General features: G+C 35.3%; 1 protein-coding gene across 11 annotated transcripts in view; it reads left to right on the forward strand.

The window, feature by feature from the left end:
• The window catches only part of SPATA7 (spermatogenesis associated 7), an 84,694-nt gene that overhangs the window by 29,061 nt on the left and 38,781 nt on the right, over positions 1–16,852 (forward strand). For 6 of the 11 annotated variants that reach the window (XM_047431581.1, XM_047431584.1, XM_047431582.1 and 3 more), the window contains 5 exons: positions 1,994–2,127; positions 11,515–11,987; positions 12,913–12,979; positions 14,631–14,746; positions 16,455–16,508. In XM_047431581.1, the coding sequence (XP_047287537.1) occupies positions 1,994–2,127; positions 11,515–11,987; positions 12,913–12,979; positions 14,631–14,746; positions 16,455–16,508 (844 nt within the window). Of the gene's footprint in view, positions 1–1,993; positions 2,128–11,514; positions 11,988–12,912; positions 12,983–14,630; positions 14,747–16,454; positions 16,509–16,852 lie in introns of all 11 variants that reach the window. The other 5 variants (XM_006720205.2, XM_006720204.2, XM_005267851.2 and 2 more) reach the window with 1 other exon arrangement.

Raw genomic sequence — 16,852 nt, forward strand, 5'->3', positions numbered from 1 at the left:
ATCCCAGAAATTTTGGTATGTTGTGTTTCTGTTTTTATTTATTTCAAAGAGTTTTTTTGTTTTTTTTTAATTTCACCTTCTGTTGTTTACCCAAAAGTCATTCAGGAGCAAGTTGGTTTAATTTCCATGTAAAATTATGTGGTTTTGAGGAGTACTCTTGGTATTGATTTCTACCTTTTTTTCCACCGTGGTCCAAAAATATGTTTGGCGTGGTTTCAATTTTTTTACATTTATTGAAACTTGCTTTGTCTTCGAGCATGTGGTTGATCTTAGAGTATGTTCCACATGCAGATGAGAAGAATGTTTATTCTGTGGTTGTTGGGTGGAGTATTCTTCTGTAGATGTCTATTAGGTCCAGTTGGTCAGGTGTCAAATTTAAATCCAGAATTTCTTTGTTAGTTTTCTGCTTTGAGGGTCTATCTAACACTGCCAGTGGGATGTTGAAGTCCCCCATTATTAATGTGTGGCTGTCTAAATCTTTTCATAGGTCTAGAAGTACTTGTATGAATCTGGGTGCTCCAGTGTTGGGTGCAAATATACCTAGGATAGGTAAGTCTTGTGGAATTGAATCCTTCGTCATTATGTAATGCCCATCTTTGTCCTTATTGCTGTTGGTTTAAAGTCTGTTTTATCTGATACAAGAATAGCAACCCCTGCTCTTCTATTTACTGTTTGCATGATAGGTCTTTCTTCATCACTTTACTTCAGGCCTATAGGTGTCATTACATGTGTGATGGGCCTCTTGAAGATAGTAGAAGGTTGGGTCTTGTTTTTTGTTTTTTTTTAAATAAAATATTATTTTATTTTTTAAATAAAAAAATTAAAAAGTGGTTCTTGCCACTCTGTGCCTTTTAACTGGGTACATTTAGACCACTTACATTCAAGGTTAATATTGATATGTGAGGTTTGATCCTGTCATGGTGGTGTTTGCTGTTTGCTTTGTAGTCTTGATTGCGTATTTGCTTTATAGGATCTGTGAACCTCTGTATTTATGTGTTCTTTTATGGTAGTGAGTATCATTCTTATGTATGCATGTTTAGAACTTCCTTGAGCATTTCCTATAGGCTAGGTGATGTAGTTTGGGTATTTGTCCCCACCCAAATGTCACATTGAAATGTAACCCCTAGTGTTGGAGTTGGCGCCTGATGGGAGGTGATTGGATCATGTCTGTGAATTTCTCATGAATGGCTTAGCGCCACCCCCTTGATGCTGTCCTTGTGATAGTGAGTGGGTTCTTGCAAGATCTGGTTGTTTAAAAGTGTATGCCCCCACAGCCTTCCCCTCTCGTTCTTGCCATATGAAATGCACATTCCCTCTTCGCCTTCCACCACGAGCAAAAGCTTCCTGTGGTCTCCCCTGAAGCAGATGCTGGCATTGTGCTTCCTGTACAGCCTGCAGAATCATGAGCCAATTAAACTTCTTACCTTATAAATTACCCAGTCTTGGGTATTTCTAATAGCAATGCAAGAACAGTCTAACACACTAGGTCTAGATATAACAAATTCCTTTAGCGTTTGCTTGTCAGGAAAGACTTTATTTCTTCTTTGTTTGTGAAGCTTAGTATTTGGTGATTACATAGTCATAAATAACATGGTTAAGCATTTGTAACCTTCATATCTCTGTGAATAACTGCTAAGAGTTGCTTTCTTATGCCCTTAGGCTTGGCCAGTTTGTCATATCTTGTTGGCATTCTTTTTTTTTTTTTTTTTTTTTGGTAACTACACAAATCTCACTATATTGTTTGTATTATTTAAATAGTTAATCCATTTAGAATTTCTATAAATTAAATGTGTTAGTTAATATCTAGAGGCACATGTGAAATAAATAATTTTTAAAATGTGTTAGTAACTCTTTATATAGGAAAATAAATGGATTTTTATTTACATATCATAACATTTTAACAAGAAAAATGTTCCATTTATTACTCTAACAAGACCAAAAAACCAATTTTCTATTTTGTTCCATATTTTGAAAGATTTGTTTTCCCTTTTAGATGCAGACCAACAACGAAGAGAGAAACTCAAAAAGGAATTAGCACAATGTGAAAAAGAGTTCAAATTAACTAAAACTGCAATGCGAGCCAATTATAAAAATAATTCCAAGTCACTTTTTAATACCTTACAAAAGGTAAGATAGTATTTTTATTTTTTAAAAGCAAATGTTTCTAAGGTACTTCTTTAGTGGTACAATCTGACTTTGTTTACTATAGTTTAGGGTCAGCAAATTTTTCCTGTAAAGATCCAGATAGTTAATATTTTAAAAGGCTGTTCAGGCCTCTGTCACAACTACTCTGCCATTGGAAGGCAGACATAGACAGTACATAAATAAATGAGTATAGCCGTGTTCTGCTGAAACTTTATTAACTGAAGACATTGGGTCAGATTTGGCCTGAAGGTTATAGTTTGCAGACCCCAGTTATAGGTTTTTTGTGATACCTTCGAACATCTGGTTAAATAAGTTCTATTCCTAGTTTGTGAAGTTTTTTTTTTCCCTTTCTCCTGAATGGATATTAATTTTATGAAATGCTTTTTTGCATCTCTTGGAATGATGATATTATGATATAATTTTTCTCTTTTAATCTGTGGGGTTTTTTTTTTTTTATATATATATATATAGTCTCACTCTGTTGCCCAGGCTGGAGTGCAGTGGCATGATCTTGGCTCACTACAACCTCCACTTCCTGGGTTGAAACAATTCTCCTCCCTCAGCCTCCCCAGTAGCTAGGATCACAGGCACCCACCACGACTCCAGCTAATTTTTGTGTTTTCAGTAGAGATGGGGTCTCGCCATGTTGGCCAGGTTGGTCTCAAACTCCTGACCTCAAGTGATCTGCCCACCTCGGCCTCCCAAAAAGTGCTAGGATTACAAGCATGAGCCACTATGCTGAGCCTCTTTTAATCTGTTAATGTAATGAATTACAAACAATTGACTTTAATGTTAAACCAACTTTGCATTCCTGTTGTAAACAGAACTTAGTCATGGTACATTACCTTTTTTATTCATTGCTAGATTTACTTACTAATATTTGTTTAGAATTTTGGCATCTGTCCATTATTGATACTGGCCTGTCATTTTCTTTTTTTGTACTCCTTGTGTCTGGTTATGCTATCCTCATAAAATAAACTGGGCACTATTTCTTCTTTCTGTACTCTAGCTTGTGTACATTTGGTTTATTTGTTCCTTAAATTTGGTGGAACTCAACATTAAAATTGTCTAGGCCTAAAGTATTTTTTATGAGAAGATTTTGACTACTGATTCAATTTTTTAAGTCATTATAGAATGATTTCAATGTTAGATTTATGTAGGAAGTTGTTCATTTTATGTAAATTTTTGGCAGAGAATTGTTCATACTATTCTCTTAATCTCTTCTGAATATGTATTATTTCCCCTTGTTATTCCTAAGGTAGTTTATTTGTGCCTTCATTCTTCTTCTTCATCATTCTCATCAGAGATTGAGTCAGTTTTTTTAAAGGACACACTTTTTATTGTGTTAGTCTTCTCTATTGTATTTTGTTTTCTGTTTTGTTAATATCTGTGTTTATCTTTATTTCCCTCTCTCTGGGTTTATTTTGCTGTACTATCTCTAATTTTATTTAATTTATTAATTCTCTGCCTTACTTCTTTGCTAGTGTAAGCATTTTTAATGCTATAAATTTTCCACCAAGTACAGCTTTAGCTGCATCCCACAAGTTTTGATAGGTGGTATTTTTATTATGTTTCAATTCGAAGTATTTTACAATTTTCTTTTTGTTTGTTTGTTTTTGTTTTGTTTTTTGAGATAATGTCTTGCTCTGTTGCCCAGGCTGGCATGCAGTAGTGTGATCTCGGCTCACTGCAACCTCCGCCTCCTGGGTTGAAGCAATTCTCGTGCCTCAGCCTCCCAAGTAGCTGGGACTACAGGTGCCTGCCACCATGCCCAGCTAATTTTTGTGTTTTTAGTAGAGTCTAGTTTCACCATGTTGGCCAGGTTGGTCTCTAACTCCTGACCTCAAGTGATCTGCTTGCCTCAGCCTCCCAAAGTGCTGGGATTACAGGCGTGAGCCACCATGCCCGGCCTACAATTTTCATTATGATTTTTTTATTTAACCCAGAAATCATTTAGAACTATTTCTTAATCTCTGTATCTGCTTTTTCCTTAGTATCTGTTTGTTACAGATTTCTAGCCTAATTGTACTGTGATTAGGAAACATCTATATTATATCCATTTCTTGAAATTTATTGAGCACTTGTTTTATGTCCCAGTAGGTGGACAATTTTTTAAAAATGTCCTGTCATTATATGTTTGAAAATAAAATATATTCTATAGTTTTTGCATGTAGTATTTGATATATAGTATATTCATTAAACTTTGTATTTTCCAGATATTCAAATCTTTTATATCATATTGATTATTTTTGTCTGGTTAATCTATCAGTTATTGAGAGAAATCTTCCACATACTTACATATTTAGCTATTTCTCCTTGTGGTACTATTAATTTTTGATTTACATATTTTGAATGCATGTTATTACATTAGAGATATTAGAGATACAGAATACAGATTTAGAAAATCCTGAAGGAGGTAGTTTCTTGGTGAACTGAACCTGTTATCACTGTGCTTTGAATTTCTTTACCTTAATGCTTTTTCTATTAATATTTTCTGATAGTGATATAATTAAATTAGCTTTATTTTGACTAGTATTTACTTGGTATATCATTTTCCATTTTTTGATCTTAATGTTTTCTTCTTTTTTTTTTTTTAATGTCACTTGCCAATCTCAATGTTTTAGGTTAGTATTTGGTGGGTCAGATTATTCAATCTGATAATCATTGTCTTTTTTTTTTTTTGAGACAGAGTCTCGCTTTTTTACCCAGGCCAGACTGCAGTGGCGCTATCTTGGCTCACTGCAAGCTCTGCCTCCCGGGTTCACGCCATTCTCCTGCCTCAGCCTCCGAGTAGCTGGGACTACAGGCACCCGCCACCACGCCTGGCTAATTTTTTGTATTTTTAGTAGAGACGGGGTTCCACCATGTTAGCCAGGATGGTCTCGATCTCCTGACCTCGTGATCTGCCTGCCTCGGCCTCCCAAAGTGCTGTGATAATCATTGTCTTTTTAATGGGGCATTTAATATGTTTTTATTTCTGGCTTCTTATTTCATACCTTCTATTTGACTCAATGTGGTAGACAAAATTTGAAGACAACACCCCCACAGTGACCCACACCCTTAAGCAATCCCCTCCTCTTCAGTGCAGGTAGGACCTGTAACTTGCTTCTACCCAGTAGAATATGGGAAAGATGATAGGATGTCACTTCTGTGATTCTGTTATGTGGCAAAAGTGAAGGGATATTTTCCCCTGCAGATTAAGGTTTTTGTTCCTTAAAAGAGAATGGAAAAATAAGTCTGGGAAGATTTTCCACAGTGACTGCTGTTTCTCTCCCCAAGCCACACCAAGAGAAGGTGGGAAAGGGATTCTCTCTACTCTTCCCTATAAGCTTCGAGTAGGTTTCCTGGAGGAAAAGCCTGCAAGAGGTACAAACTCCCCAAGTCCTCAGGTCCGGTACAGACCTGAGCACATCACTAGTCCACACTCAGTCTTTAGGAAATTAACAAATATTTATAACATAATCTTATCAATTTATGTGGCATTCCATGGCATCTTTCCCAAGTAAGCAAGTGCTGGGATACTTATCTCTCTCCATATTTCAGGTTAGTTGTTTGCTCTGTGACCTCAGTTCTCTCATTAGTTCAAGAAAAATCATTAATGTGCAGATCGTTCAGCTTTTTTCTTCTTGTAATGGTGAGAGCTGTGTTCTTTCCATCTCTATCTCTCAGCTGAAACAGTAAGTTTGTTTTATTTTTATGTGTGGTTTCATTTTTTGAACTTTTAAATTTTGAAAACCTTAGCATTTACAAAAATATAGTATAATAAGCCCACATGTTCCTATCACCTAGGTTGTAGCAATGATCAGCTCAGAGCCAGTGTTATTTCACCTATATGCCCACTCACTCTCCTAGGTTGTTTTGATGCAAACCCCAGACACCATATAATTTTATCCATAAATATTTGAGTATATATCTAAAAGATAGACTTTTAAAACCACAACAATACTATTATGCCTTAAAAATTAATAACAGGCTGGGTGTGGTGGCCCACACCTGTAATCCCAGCACTTTGGGAGGCCAAGGTGGGTGGATCACCAGGTCAGGAGATCAAGACCATCCTGGCCAACATGGTGAAACCTCGTCTCTACTAAAATACAAAAAAAAATTAGCCAGGAGTGGTGGTGCGCACTTGTAGTCCCAGCTACTCGGGAGGCTGAGGCAGGGGAATCGAACCCAGGAGGTGGGAGGTCTCAATGAGCTGAGTTAACGCCACTGCACTCCAGCCTGGTGACAGAGCGAAACTCCGTCTCAAAAAAAAAAATAATTAATTAATAACAGTTCTTTAATAATAAATATCTGATGTTTAGATTTCCCCACTGTCTCCTTTTTGAGTTTGTTAGAGTTGGTATTAGAAGGCCAGCAGTCTCCTTCAACTCAGTGCCAGGGTTCAGGATGGGGAAGTTTCCTTGCAAGTCATCTAGTTGAGGAGTAGCCATTGAGAGAATCCCAGATTCTCAAGCATGATCTCTTAAGAGCTTTGTTTTCTGCCCCTAGCACCCATGATGTGGTTTAAAAAAAACTATGGACTGCTGGGCAAAAGCCAGATTGACTGCTCTGCTTACCAAATACCAAGGCTGTAATAATGAGTCTGGATTTTTTTCCTTGAGAAATGCTGGGAGCCATAGACCAGTTTTTAGTTGGGAAGTTATGTCATCATACTGACACTACACAGACTACACTGACAACAGTGGAGGACAGTTACGAGACAGTTGCAGTAATCTGGGAAGCAGTAATTAAGACATGATTCTATGACAGCAGAGAGAGCATAAGGAATACATTTAAGAAATAATTAGAAAGTAGAATCTCGGCCGGGCGTGGTGGCTCATGGCTGTAATCCCAGCACTTTGGGAGGCTGAGGCGGGCGGATCACAAGGTCAGGAGTTCGAGACCAGCCTGGCCAATATGGTGAAACCCTGTCTCTGCTAAAAATACAAAAATTAGCTGGGCATGGTGGCATGCACCTGTACTCCTAGCTACTCAGGAGGCTGAGGCAGAAGAATCGCTTGAGTCCAGGAGGCGGGGTTGCAGTGAGCCAAGATTGTGCCACTGCACTCCAGCCTGGGCGACAGAGCGAGACTCCATCTCAAAAAAAAAAAAAAAAAGTAGAATCTGCAGGACTTGGTGACTGAGTGGATGATGTGAAGAGTAAGAAGCAGGAGTTAAAATCCTAAGTTTCTGCCTTGGGCAACTGGGAGAATAGTAATATATCATTCACAGAAATATAATAGGATGAGGTGCAGGTTTTCTTTGGGGCTGGAGGTAATAAGAGATAGGAGTTTATTGTTTGGCTGTGTTTGATTTGAGATGCTTTTGGAACATCTAGTATATTTAGTAGACACTTGGATATAAGCATCTGTGTCAGCAAAGAGGTCTGGGCTGAAAATAGACTTGGGAGTCATCAGGGGAAGCAGTGAATATGATTGAGAGCCCCAGGGCTATTATGTAGATAAAAAGACCAGCAATAGAGCTGCTTCCTTTAGAATAAATCTGTTATCTGCTCTGTATTATACTTTGCTATCTGGGATTCTGTTCCTCAATATTTGAATCACAGGTGTATTTTCATTTTTAGTGATTGTACTTTTTAACAGAAAATTTAAAATTTGTTTCTATTATTCAGCATGAGTATAAATTACTAATTAAATTTTGAGATAAGAATGGGGTTTCTTGAAAATACAAATCATATATTTTAATATATCTTTTTAATGTATTTTATATATCTATTTATATATAATAAAGTAAAAATATATATTATTTACATATTATATATTTTTAATATATTTCTGTAAATGTTAGATGTTTTCATTTTTCCAATAGCAACTATAACCCTATATAACTTTTTGCCTCCATAAAGTTGTTAATTTATTATTTTATCTGTATTTTTATTGACTCCATTTAGGATTCATAGTAACTTGCACTTTGCCTACATTTTTGATAAGCCCTGATAATAAATATTTTAGATACACTCAGATTGTCTTAAGAGCCTTATTTTGGGTAGTATATTTTGATAATTGAATGGGTGTTATGGTTAACAGACACCTGTTATGGTTATAATTTGTATTCACTGTAAAGGCTGCTATAGTTAAAATGCTGGCTTTAACCTCTGAATGTATTAGCCCTTTATATACATTATAAAGGTCATATATCAAAAACCTTTTATGATAATTGCCCAATTCTCTTGCCACTTTTCTTCTCCCATACTCTGACTCACATGCTGTCACCCTCAGAACCCTCCTAAGCCCTTCCAGTCTTCACCCTGTAACTCTTGAGTCATTCACTACTTAGTCAATGCTCCCATACTACTCGTTTGCTTCACTGGTGTAGCACTTACTGTGTGCTTTTAAGATTAAGTGAATATGTGGGTGTGAGCTTTATTTCTGAATAAATCTAGAAAAGAGGCGGGAGCAGTGGCTCACACCTGTGATCCCAACACTTTGAGAGACTGAGGCAGACAGATCACTTGAGCCCAGGAGTTTGAGACCAGCCTGGACAACATGGCAAAACCCCATCTCTACAAAAAAAAAAAAAAAAATACAAGAAAAAAAAAAAAGCCAGGCATGATGGTGTGTATCTGTTGTCCCAGCTACTCAGGAGGCTGAGGCAGGCAGATTAATTGAGCCCAGGAGGTCGTGGCTGCAGTGAGCCATGATCAGGCCACTGCACTCCAGCCTGGGTAACAAAGTAAGATTAAAAAAAAAAAATCTGGGAAACTTTTTAAAAACAGTACAAAATAGTGAAAATCAAGAGCTATATTTGTTTTATAAAATATAATTTGAAACTTTTTTGCAAACAGATGTTAGATTTTAAAATAATTTTTTTTTTTTTTTTTTTTTTTTTTTTGAGACGGAGTCTCGCTCTGTCGCCCAGGCTGGAGTGCAGTGGCGCGATCTCGGCTCACTGCAAGCTCCGCCTCCCGGGTTCACGCCATTCCCCTGCCTCAGCCTCCCGAGTAGCTGGGACTACAGGCGCCCGCTACCCATCCAATTCTACAATTGAATTGACTCTTCAAGTGTTTAAAAATCCGACAATTGGAAAATTATTGTAGGTTATGTCTTCTGACATCCTTAAAAAAGATTGATTTAGTACTGAGTTCTGTATTGTAAAATTCTTGACATGAAAGTATGATGAGTATATAAACTATGTTATGGTTATTACTTTACATAAATCTTGAAATCACAGAAACAGTGCACAACAAACCTCGTAAACTAAGAATAACCTAAGAAAGTGAGTGTTCAGGGTACCACCAGACTCTTTGCTCCATTGGCACATAATTGATGAACCCTTTTCTGATTTCAGAACTTTACAGTGATCTGCTGTTCATGTTTTGGGATTCTACCAGTGTGTTACATATATTCTGCACAAATATCTTTATCCAAGTTTCATGATATTCATAGCTAAAGGAAACAAGATGCAGATTGGTACAGTGGATTTTATACTGTAGTCTACTGGTTTCCAAGGAAAGAAAAAATAGGATACAAGGTAGAAATTATAAGATACAAAAATGGGAAAAGTTTCATGCTTTCTATAAGTTCAGAAGCAATTTTTCCATCCCATTTCAGAGAGATAGCTTAACATATACTTCTACCTTTTAAAAAGACTTTCTTCAGTGTTTCATTTTGTTTATTAAATAACCATTACCGATAACATTTCTTTACAGGCAATCATAATGGCTTATGCATTTCTTTCTCCTTCCTCTGATCTCAGTTTGTGCTGTTCTTCTAAGTGTAAATAATTCCTGTGCTTATTAATTAATTGCCCTATAGGATATTTTTAGACTGTACTTAGAAATTTCTTCTTTGAGAGCTAAACTCTTCTGGTACATAAGCTGTAGTGTGAGTATCATTTAGGACTACTTATAAAAACTAACATCTTGAAGTCATTTACCAAATAGTACCCTAGTGACTCAAAATTTAATGCCAGCATACTTACTTGCTTTGAGTAATGTTGTCTTGTATTTGGAATAAGGTTATAAAACAGTTGGAAAGGAAAGGTGATTTGACATATTTTAGATAGTAGTCACAATGTCCAGTTATCTGCAATTTTTTTGCTTTGATAAATCAGCACTTTAGGTTAGCTGACTTATTTGTTCCCAGAAAAAGAGTTAAAATCAGTTTAAAATTTTTTATGCTGTAAAAAAAATCTAAAATCATATAATTTTCAAATAAGTTTTTAAGTAGACAATATGATAAAGTGGCAAAGAACATGGGCTCTGCCTCTGTTCAAATCTGTGAGACACTGCACCTCAGAGCAGTGTTTTTATCTACAAAATAGGGTAATAATTGTACTACCTCTCAGAAGTTGATGTTAGGATTAAATGAGCTATACATGAAAATGAGTACAGTACCTTGCACATAGTAAGCACACCATACATATTAGTAGCAGTGATAGAAGTTCTTATTATTCCTCTTCTATTCAATGTCAAGAGCAGTACCTTTCATACAGGAAGCCTTTTTCCTTACTCAACTTGTCCATCTTCCCCTTGTTATTCCTCCCAATGAGGTAATAAGACAGATATAATTGGCTAAATCCTAGCGATTTTTAACCTCAATTTCTGTAACCTCCATGTAATTTCCCCTCTACCTAATGAAAGTGCCTCAGAGTTTTGCAAAGGATATACAGATGTGTCCGTAAGGGCTGAAGTCATAGGCAAAGCTTCTTAGACATTTTCAGTTTATAAAACAATAAAATACTATCTGTGTTTTTAGACTTTACAAATAACCTGTAGAAATGGTTTTCCTAAAGTAAAGCCAAAAAGAAATGGAGCAAGTCAAAATGCCTCCCTTTTCATAGTATTACCCCCACCCCAATGAAAAGAAGTTGAGAAATATATATGAAATTATTATGGAATAAATATTTATTAATTATATTTAAATTATCAATTACCTAAATCAGGGCTCCATACATTATGAGGAGAAGTTCCTTTTCGTTTCTTTAAAGGCTTAACATCACAAAGGGATGGCTTACACTGCACTCTCCAATAATGACAAGACAGGACAGTGAGGATGATGTCACTAATAGTGGTTGAGAAGGGCATTGGTGCTCACAATTTGTGTGGAAGCTTTCAGATAAAACTGACATCTCCCAATAAATCTTAATATGCAAGTTGAAGATCCCAAATATAGATATGTTATTCATCTTTTTTTCGTTTCAGAAAGGAAATTGATTGCTCTATTACTTATATTTGGAATTAAATGTTAATATCTTAGTTTAAATACTTGACTAGAACTTCAGATAAAATATTAACATCTTCAGGAACATATCAGTTAATTTTGTAAACCCTTGAGGCTATCATTTTTTTAATGTATAATCTCAAAATCCCCAATTACATGAATTCGTAATGCAGTTGATGACTGTCATATCGAATGTTCTTAGCCCTCAGGCGAACCGCAAATTGAGGATGACATGTTAAAAGAAGAAATGAATGGATTTTCATCCTTTGCAAGGTCACTAGTACCCTCTTCAGAGAGACTACACCTAAGTCTACATAAATCCAGTAAAGTCATCACAAATGGTCCTGAGAAGAACTCCAGTTCCTCCCCGTCCAGTGTGGATTATGCAGCCTCCGGGCCCCGGAAACTGAGCTCTGGAGCCCTGTATGGCAGAAGGCCCAGAAGCACATTCCCAAATTCCCACCGGTTTCAGTTAGTCATTTCGAAAGCACCCAGTGGGGATCTTTTGGATAAACATTCTGAACTCTTTTCTAACAAACAATTGCCATTCACTCCTCGCACTTTAAAAACAGAAGCAAAATCTTTCCTGTCACAGTATCGCTATTATACACCTGCCAAAAGAAAAAAGGATTTTACAGATCAACGGATAGAAGCTGAAACCCAGACTGAATTAAGGTATGACACATCAGCAACCAACAGTAAATCCTTCAGGAAATTAAATGAAAATTAATGAATTAATATTCCTTGTTTTCTGCTGCCAGCCTTAAGATCTGATAGTGCCCTTTTGATTGGAATGAGATGAATGTGACTTTTCCTTTTCCATGTATCACTAGAACTATCAGAGTAATTGCTGAAAAATAGCTATTAAACTGGTCAAGCACCTTATGCGTATGAATTACATATTTTATTATTTCAAGCGTGGTTCAAGAATTGTGTATGTTTTTAAATATTATACTTTCAGAGAATTCTTAAAATAGGTCATCAGACAGCATTTGTGGAAATATGCATATTGATTCATGTTAAAAGTGGCGAAACAATGGGCTATAGAGGGGAAGAAACTAACCCTTTATCCATCTAACCCTCTGCTCCATTTCCTGCAGATATTCCGGCCAGTCTTCATAGCAACAACTGCCAAGAATAATTTTAAATTGGGATAATTTCTAGAAATTAAGTATAATTTGCCTCAATAATGTTTTCAAATACAGTAGTGCCTGGCACAAGATGAATGTTCAATAAAAGTTTGCCAGATGACTAAAGAAAAAAACAAATCTTGTCAAGTTTTGAGATTTAGCAGATTTGTGATTGTGATTGTTTTTCTAGTATTACATAAACAATTTATCTGGCAGTAGGTTTTAGTTGTTTTAGAAAGTAAAAACAATTTAAGATTAGTATTTTTTTCTTTGAATATAGATAAGTACAGTGATATCAGATGAGTCTGCAGATATTTAATCAAATAAAATCAAATAATTCAAAATTATGTATTTTATAAGAATAGATGGGTCTCATTCTTTTTGAGTTTATTTTTTCTAGCCAGTAAACCTTGTTACCACAGTGCTTATATTTTGAAGGATTAACAATTATTTATTTTAAATTATTACAGCTTTAAATCTGAGTTGGGGACAGCTGAGACTAAAAACATGACAGATTCAGAAATGAACATAAAGCAGGTAATAAGTATGAAATCTTTTGGTATTGCTACATTTGAATTACAGATGTTTTTCAGTAAATAGAATATGTACAGCTATTTAGACTGTGAAGAATAATCTGTTGGTGGCACTTATCATACATGATATAGCCAGTATACAGAAGGTCTGCCTATTTACAAATGGTTATAGCTCTCTCTGAATGGCCAGGTGGATCCTGCCAAATCTGGGAAGTCATTTGTTACTAACATCTTTCCTAGATGATTGGTTGGCTGGCTGGACAAATGGAAGGATCAGTAAAATACCTTAAGTATTGTTTTCAAAGATGCAGACCTGGATTACTAGAGGAGCCAGCAGAGTAGTGCAGAAGTTGAGTTTTTATACCTTTTTTTTTTTTGTAAAGAATTGCCACATATTATATAATTGGAAATTATACATTTTATAAGAATAAGTAGCTGTTATTCTCTTATGTTTGCCTCTGCTTTTTCTAGACCATGAAGCTGTTTATTACAGGGTTTATATTTTGAATTCTTAGCATCATTTCTTTTAAAATATTGCAACTTTGAGTCTGATTTTGAGATAAATTGTTTTATTTTTGGAGTTTCAGTCTTGCACTTGTGTCCTGACTTAAATTTGTTGCTTATAAAAATGGTTTGTCTATTAAAATGTCAAACACAGATCCAGAGATAGAAGAATAAAATATAATCATACTCAACTTCCCCCTTCCCTTCTGAAAATGGGTAGAAGGTGGTAGTTTTCCATCTCAGCTATTAATCGCTGTTTGACATAGGGCCCTGCCACTTAAGGCCCAAGGACAAATCACTTATCCTCTGAGAGCTGAATTTCCTCATCTAGAAAAACTGTACTTAACTTGCAGGATTATTAGGAGGAGTAAATGATGTAGGCAAAGTGCCTAGCCTGGTAAGGGCTTAATAAATGATAGCTATTACTAGCTTGAAATTTTTGGAAAGAGTTAGCTTTGCAGATAACTACGTAAACATGAAAAAATATTTATTTACAATCCTGCAAGAAAATGTGTGTCCCCATATTCCATAGATAGTGCCATCAGTACTTGACTTGAAGAAGCCAGTAGAGTATTAACTGCAGTAGATCCATATTTTAACAGCACCTTTAAAACTGTAAAGCACTATACATAAATTGTCATTGTAAAGATTGAATCTAATGATGTGAGTAAATGCTTGGCACAGTTTGTGGTGTGTAGTAAGGAGTCTATAAAAGTAAGCTGCCATTATTTTTGTTTGTTAATATTATTGTTCATGCTGCCAGCGCTACCACTGCTTCTACATATTTGACATGTTGGCATTTAAAACAGATGAGCTATTTGAATTTCTGAATAATGAGATTTTGTTCCCTCAAACTTACTTAAAAGTTGAAAATTTGCTTCATTTTTCCCTTTATATGTTTATTTGTGGCAATTTCTTAATGTCATTTAAATGCCACTCATTAAAATACAAGAAATAAGTCATTTTATCTTTAAGTTTAAGAAAAAAGTGCTGGATGGATAGAAAAATTATTCTAAAATATTCTTTGTCGTACTGTATAATTTTTATCTACTGGATATCTCTGTTCAATCACTTAAAATTTGCTGTGTTATATTCTGCTTTCGTAATGTATTTTTAAGCAAAAATAAATATTTTTTTTATTGCATCCCCAGGCATCTAATTGTGTGACATATGATGCCAAAGAAAAAATAGCTCCTTTACCTTTAGAAGGGCATGACTCAACATGGGATGAGATTAAGGATGATGCTCTTCAGCATTCCTCACCAAGGTAAACAGTTCACAGGAGAAATAATTTCAACTGTCTTTAATTGCCTTCTTGTATAACAGACATATAGTATTTGCCGCATAAGTACTATTTAATTGCATGCTCCAATCTATTTTGGTGTTATGTAATTCAATAACAGTTTTAGTTTTACCAAGGAAATTTTACAAATTGAAGTGCTTAGTAAAAGTTGAAATGAATTAATTTTGCTAATTCATTAGTAAAGGAAAAAACCACACCAACTTGTATTATTTATTATCACTGTTCATTAAAAAAATGATTTTCCCCAAGACAAGTCCTCTGGCAGTGATGCTAACCAGTTTACATGCCACAAATAGTACTGAAGAGCTTTACCATTTGAGGAGTCATAATTTGTGATTTTGAATATTCATCATATCCTAGTGCTTGACCAATCTGTGCTATATGAAGACACTATTTATTTATTTATTTATTTATTTATTTATTTATGAGACAGTCTCTCTCTGTTGTCCAGGCTGGAGTGCAGTGGTGCGGTCTCAGCTCACTGCAATGGAGGCACTCTTTAAAAACTACTCATCATGTTGAGTAATTAAGGAATATTATACATTAATTAGCAGGTAGTAGAAAACCTAAAAGATGCCTCGATAGTTTCAGTTGTCAAATGTATTTCCAGTGTCAGAGAGTGGATATGAAATGCCGGTGGAAGGGGTAGAAGAAAGGAAGGAGTAGAGATTAAAAAGAGGGCAAGAATAAGGTGTTAGTAGCAGACCACTAGGGAAGTACACACAATCCCCTCAGGCTCTGGCTTCTCCCTCAGGCCTTTGCTAGGGAGATCTCACCTGCTAAGGCCATGGAGAGTTCATTGTTAACTACCCTGTCTTTGAAATTTCTGATGTTTCAACACATATAACTTATTATTTATTAATATAACTGCTCTTGAGCCAGTCTTCATTGAATATTAAGAATGACTTAAGGAAAGGAATATTTATCTTTTCTAATACTTTCTAAAAGAAGTAAAGTAGAATAGTATAGTTGAGTATACCTGAATAAAATTTAGCTTCAAATTAATTATTGGTAACATAACTGAATAATAACAAAATTTATCATGATGACCACCTTTAAAAATATTTTCATAATAATGTATCTATATCCAGCATTATCTATACATTAACCTTAGTCAAATTGTCATTGTTTATACTAGAGAAGTGCCGTAGTGTAGTTTTAAAAAGAATTGTGAATTTATACCTAGAAAAGTAGTTTAAAAACCTGTCTTTGCTGCTTACTAACATTAACCTTGGAAAGTTACTTAGCCTTTCTGACCCTTGGTGAACTAATCAGTAAATGGGAAAAATAATACACAGCCCACATGCCTGACTGGGTTGTTTAGAAGATTAAATTAGATATGGGTATGAGAGTGCTTTAAAAATTGCTGAAACATGTAATTACAGGTTGAGCATCCCAAATTTGAAAATCTGTAATTCACCATACTCCAAAATCCGACATGATGCCCAAAGGAAATGCTCATTGGAACATTTTTGGATTTCAGATTTTTGGATTGAGATGCTCAACTACTAAGTATATAATGGAAATATTCCAAAATCCAAATTCTGAAACACTTCTGGTTCCAAACATCTAAGATAAGGGCTATTCAGTGTGTACTAATATACAATGTTATTGAGTACTTATTGTATGCCAACCACTGTTTTGCTCAACTACTTTAACTTCCTCTTTCTAGGGCAATGTGTCAGTATTCCCTGAAGCCCCCTTCAACTCGTAAAATCTACTCTGAGTAAGATCTTTTTTAAGTCTTCGTTTTGCATAGTGGAATCAAGGATTAAGAATCAAAGAAACCATATTAAATAAGTCAGGATTGAACAATAATCTCTTTTTTTAAAACTGGCAAGTAATAAATGTACATATTCATGGAGTACCTAGTGATATTTTGATACATATACTGTACAGTGATTAGAACAGTTTAATTAGCATATCCATCATCTCGAACATTTTATCATTTCTTTGTGTTGGAAACATTGAGTATCCTTCTTCTAGCTATTTGAAACTATGTATTATTGTTAACCATGGTAGTCATCCTATAGTGGTATAGAACACTAGAACTTACTCCTCCTATCTAGC

Source organism: Homo sapiens, chromosome 14, assembly GCF_000001405.40.
Source record: "Homo sapiens chromosome 14, GRCh38.p14 Primary Assembly".
Classification (NCBI taxonomy): domain Eukaryota; kingdom Metazoa; phylum Chordata; class Mammalia; order Primates; family Hominidae; genus Homo; species Homo sapiens.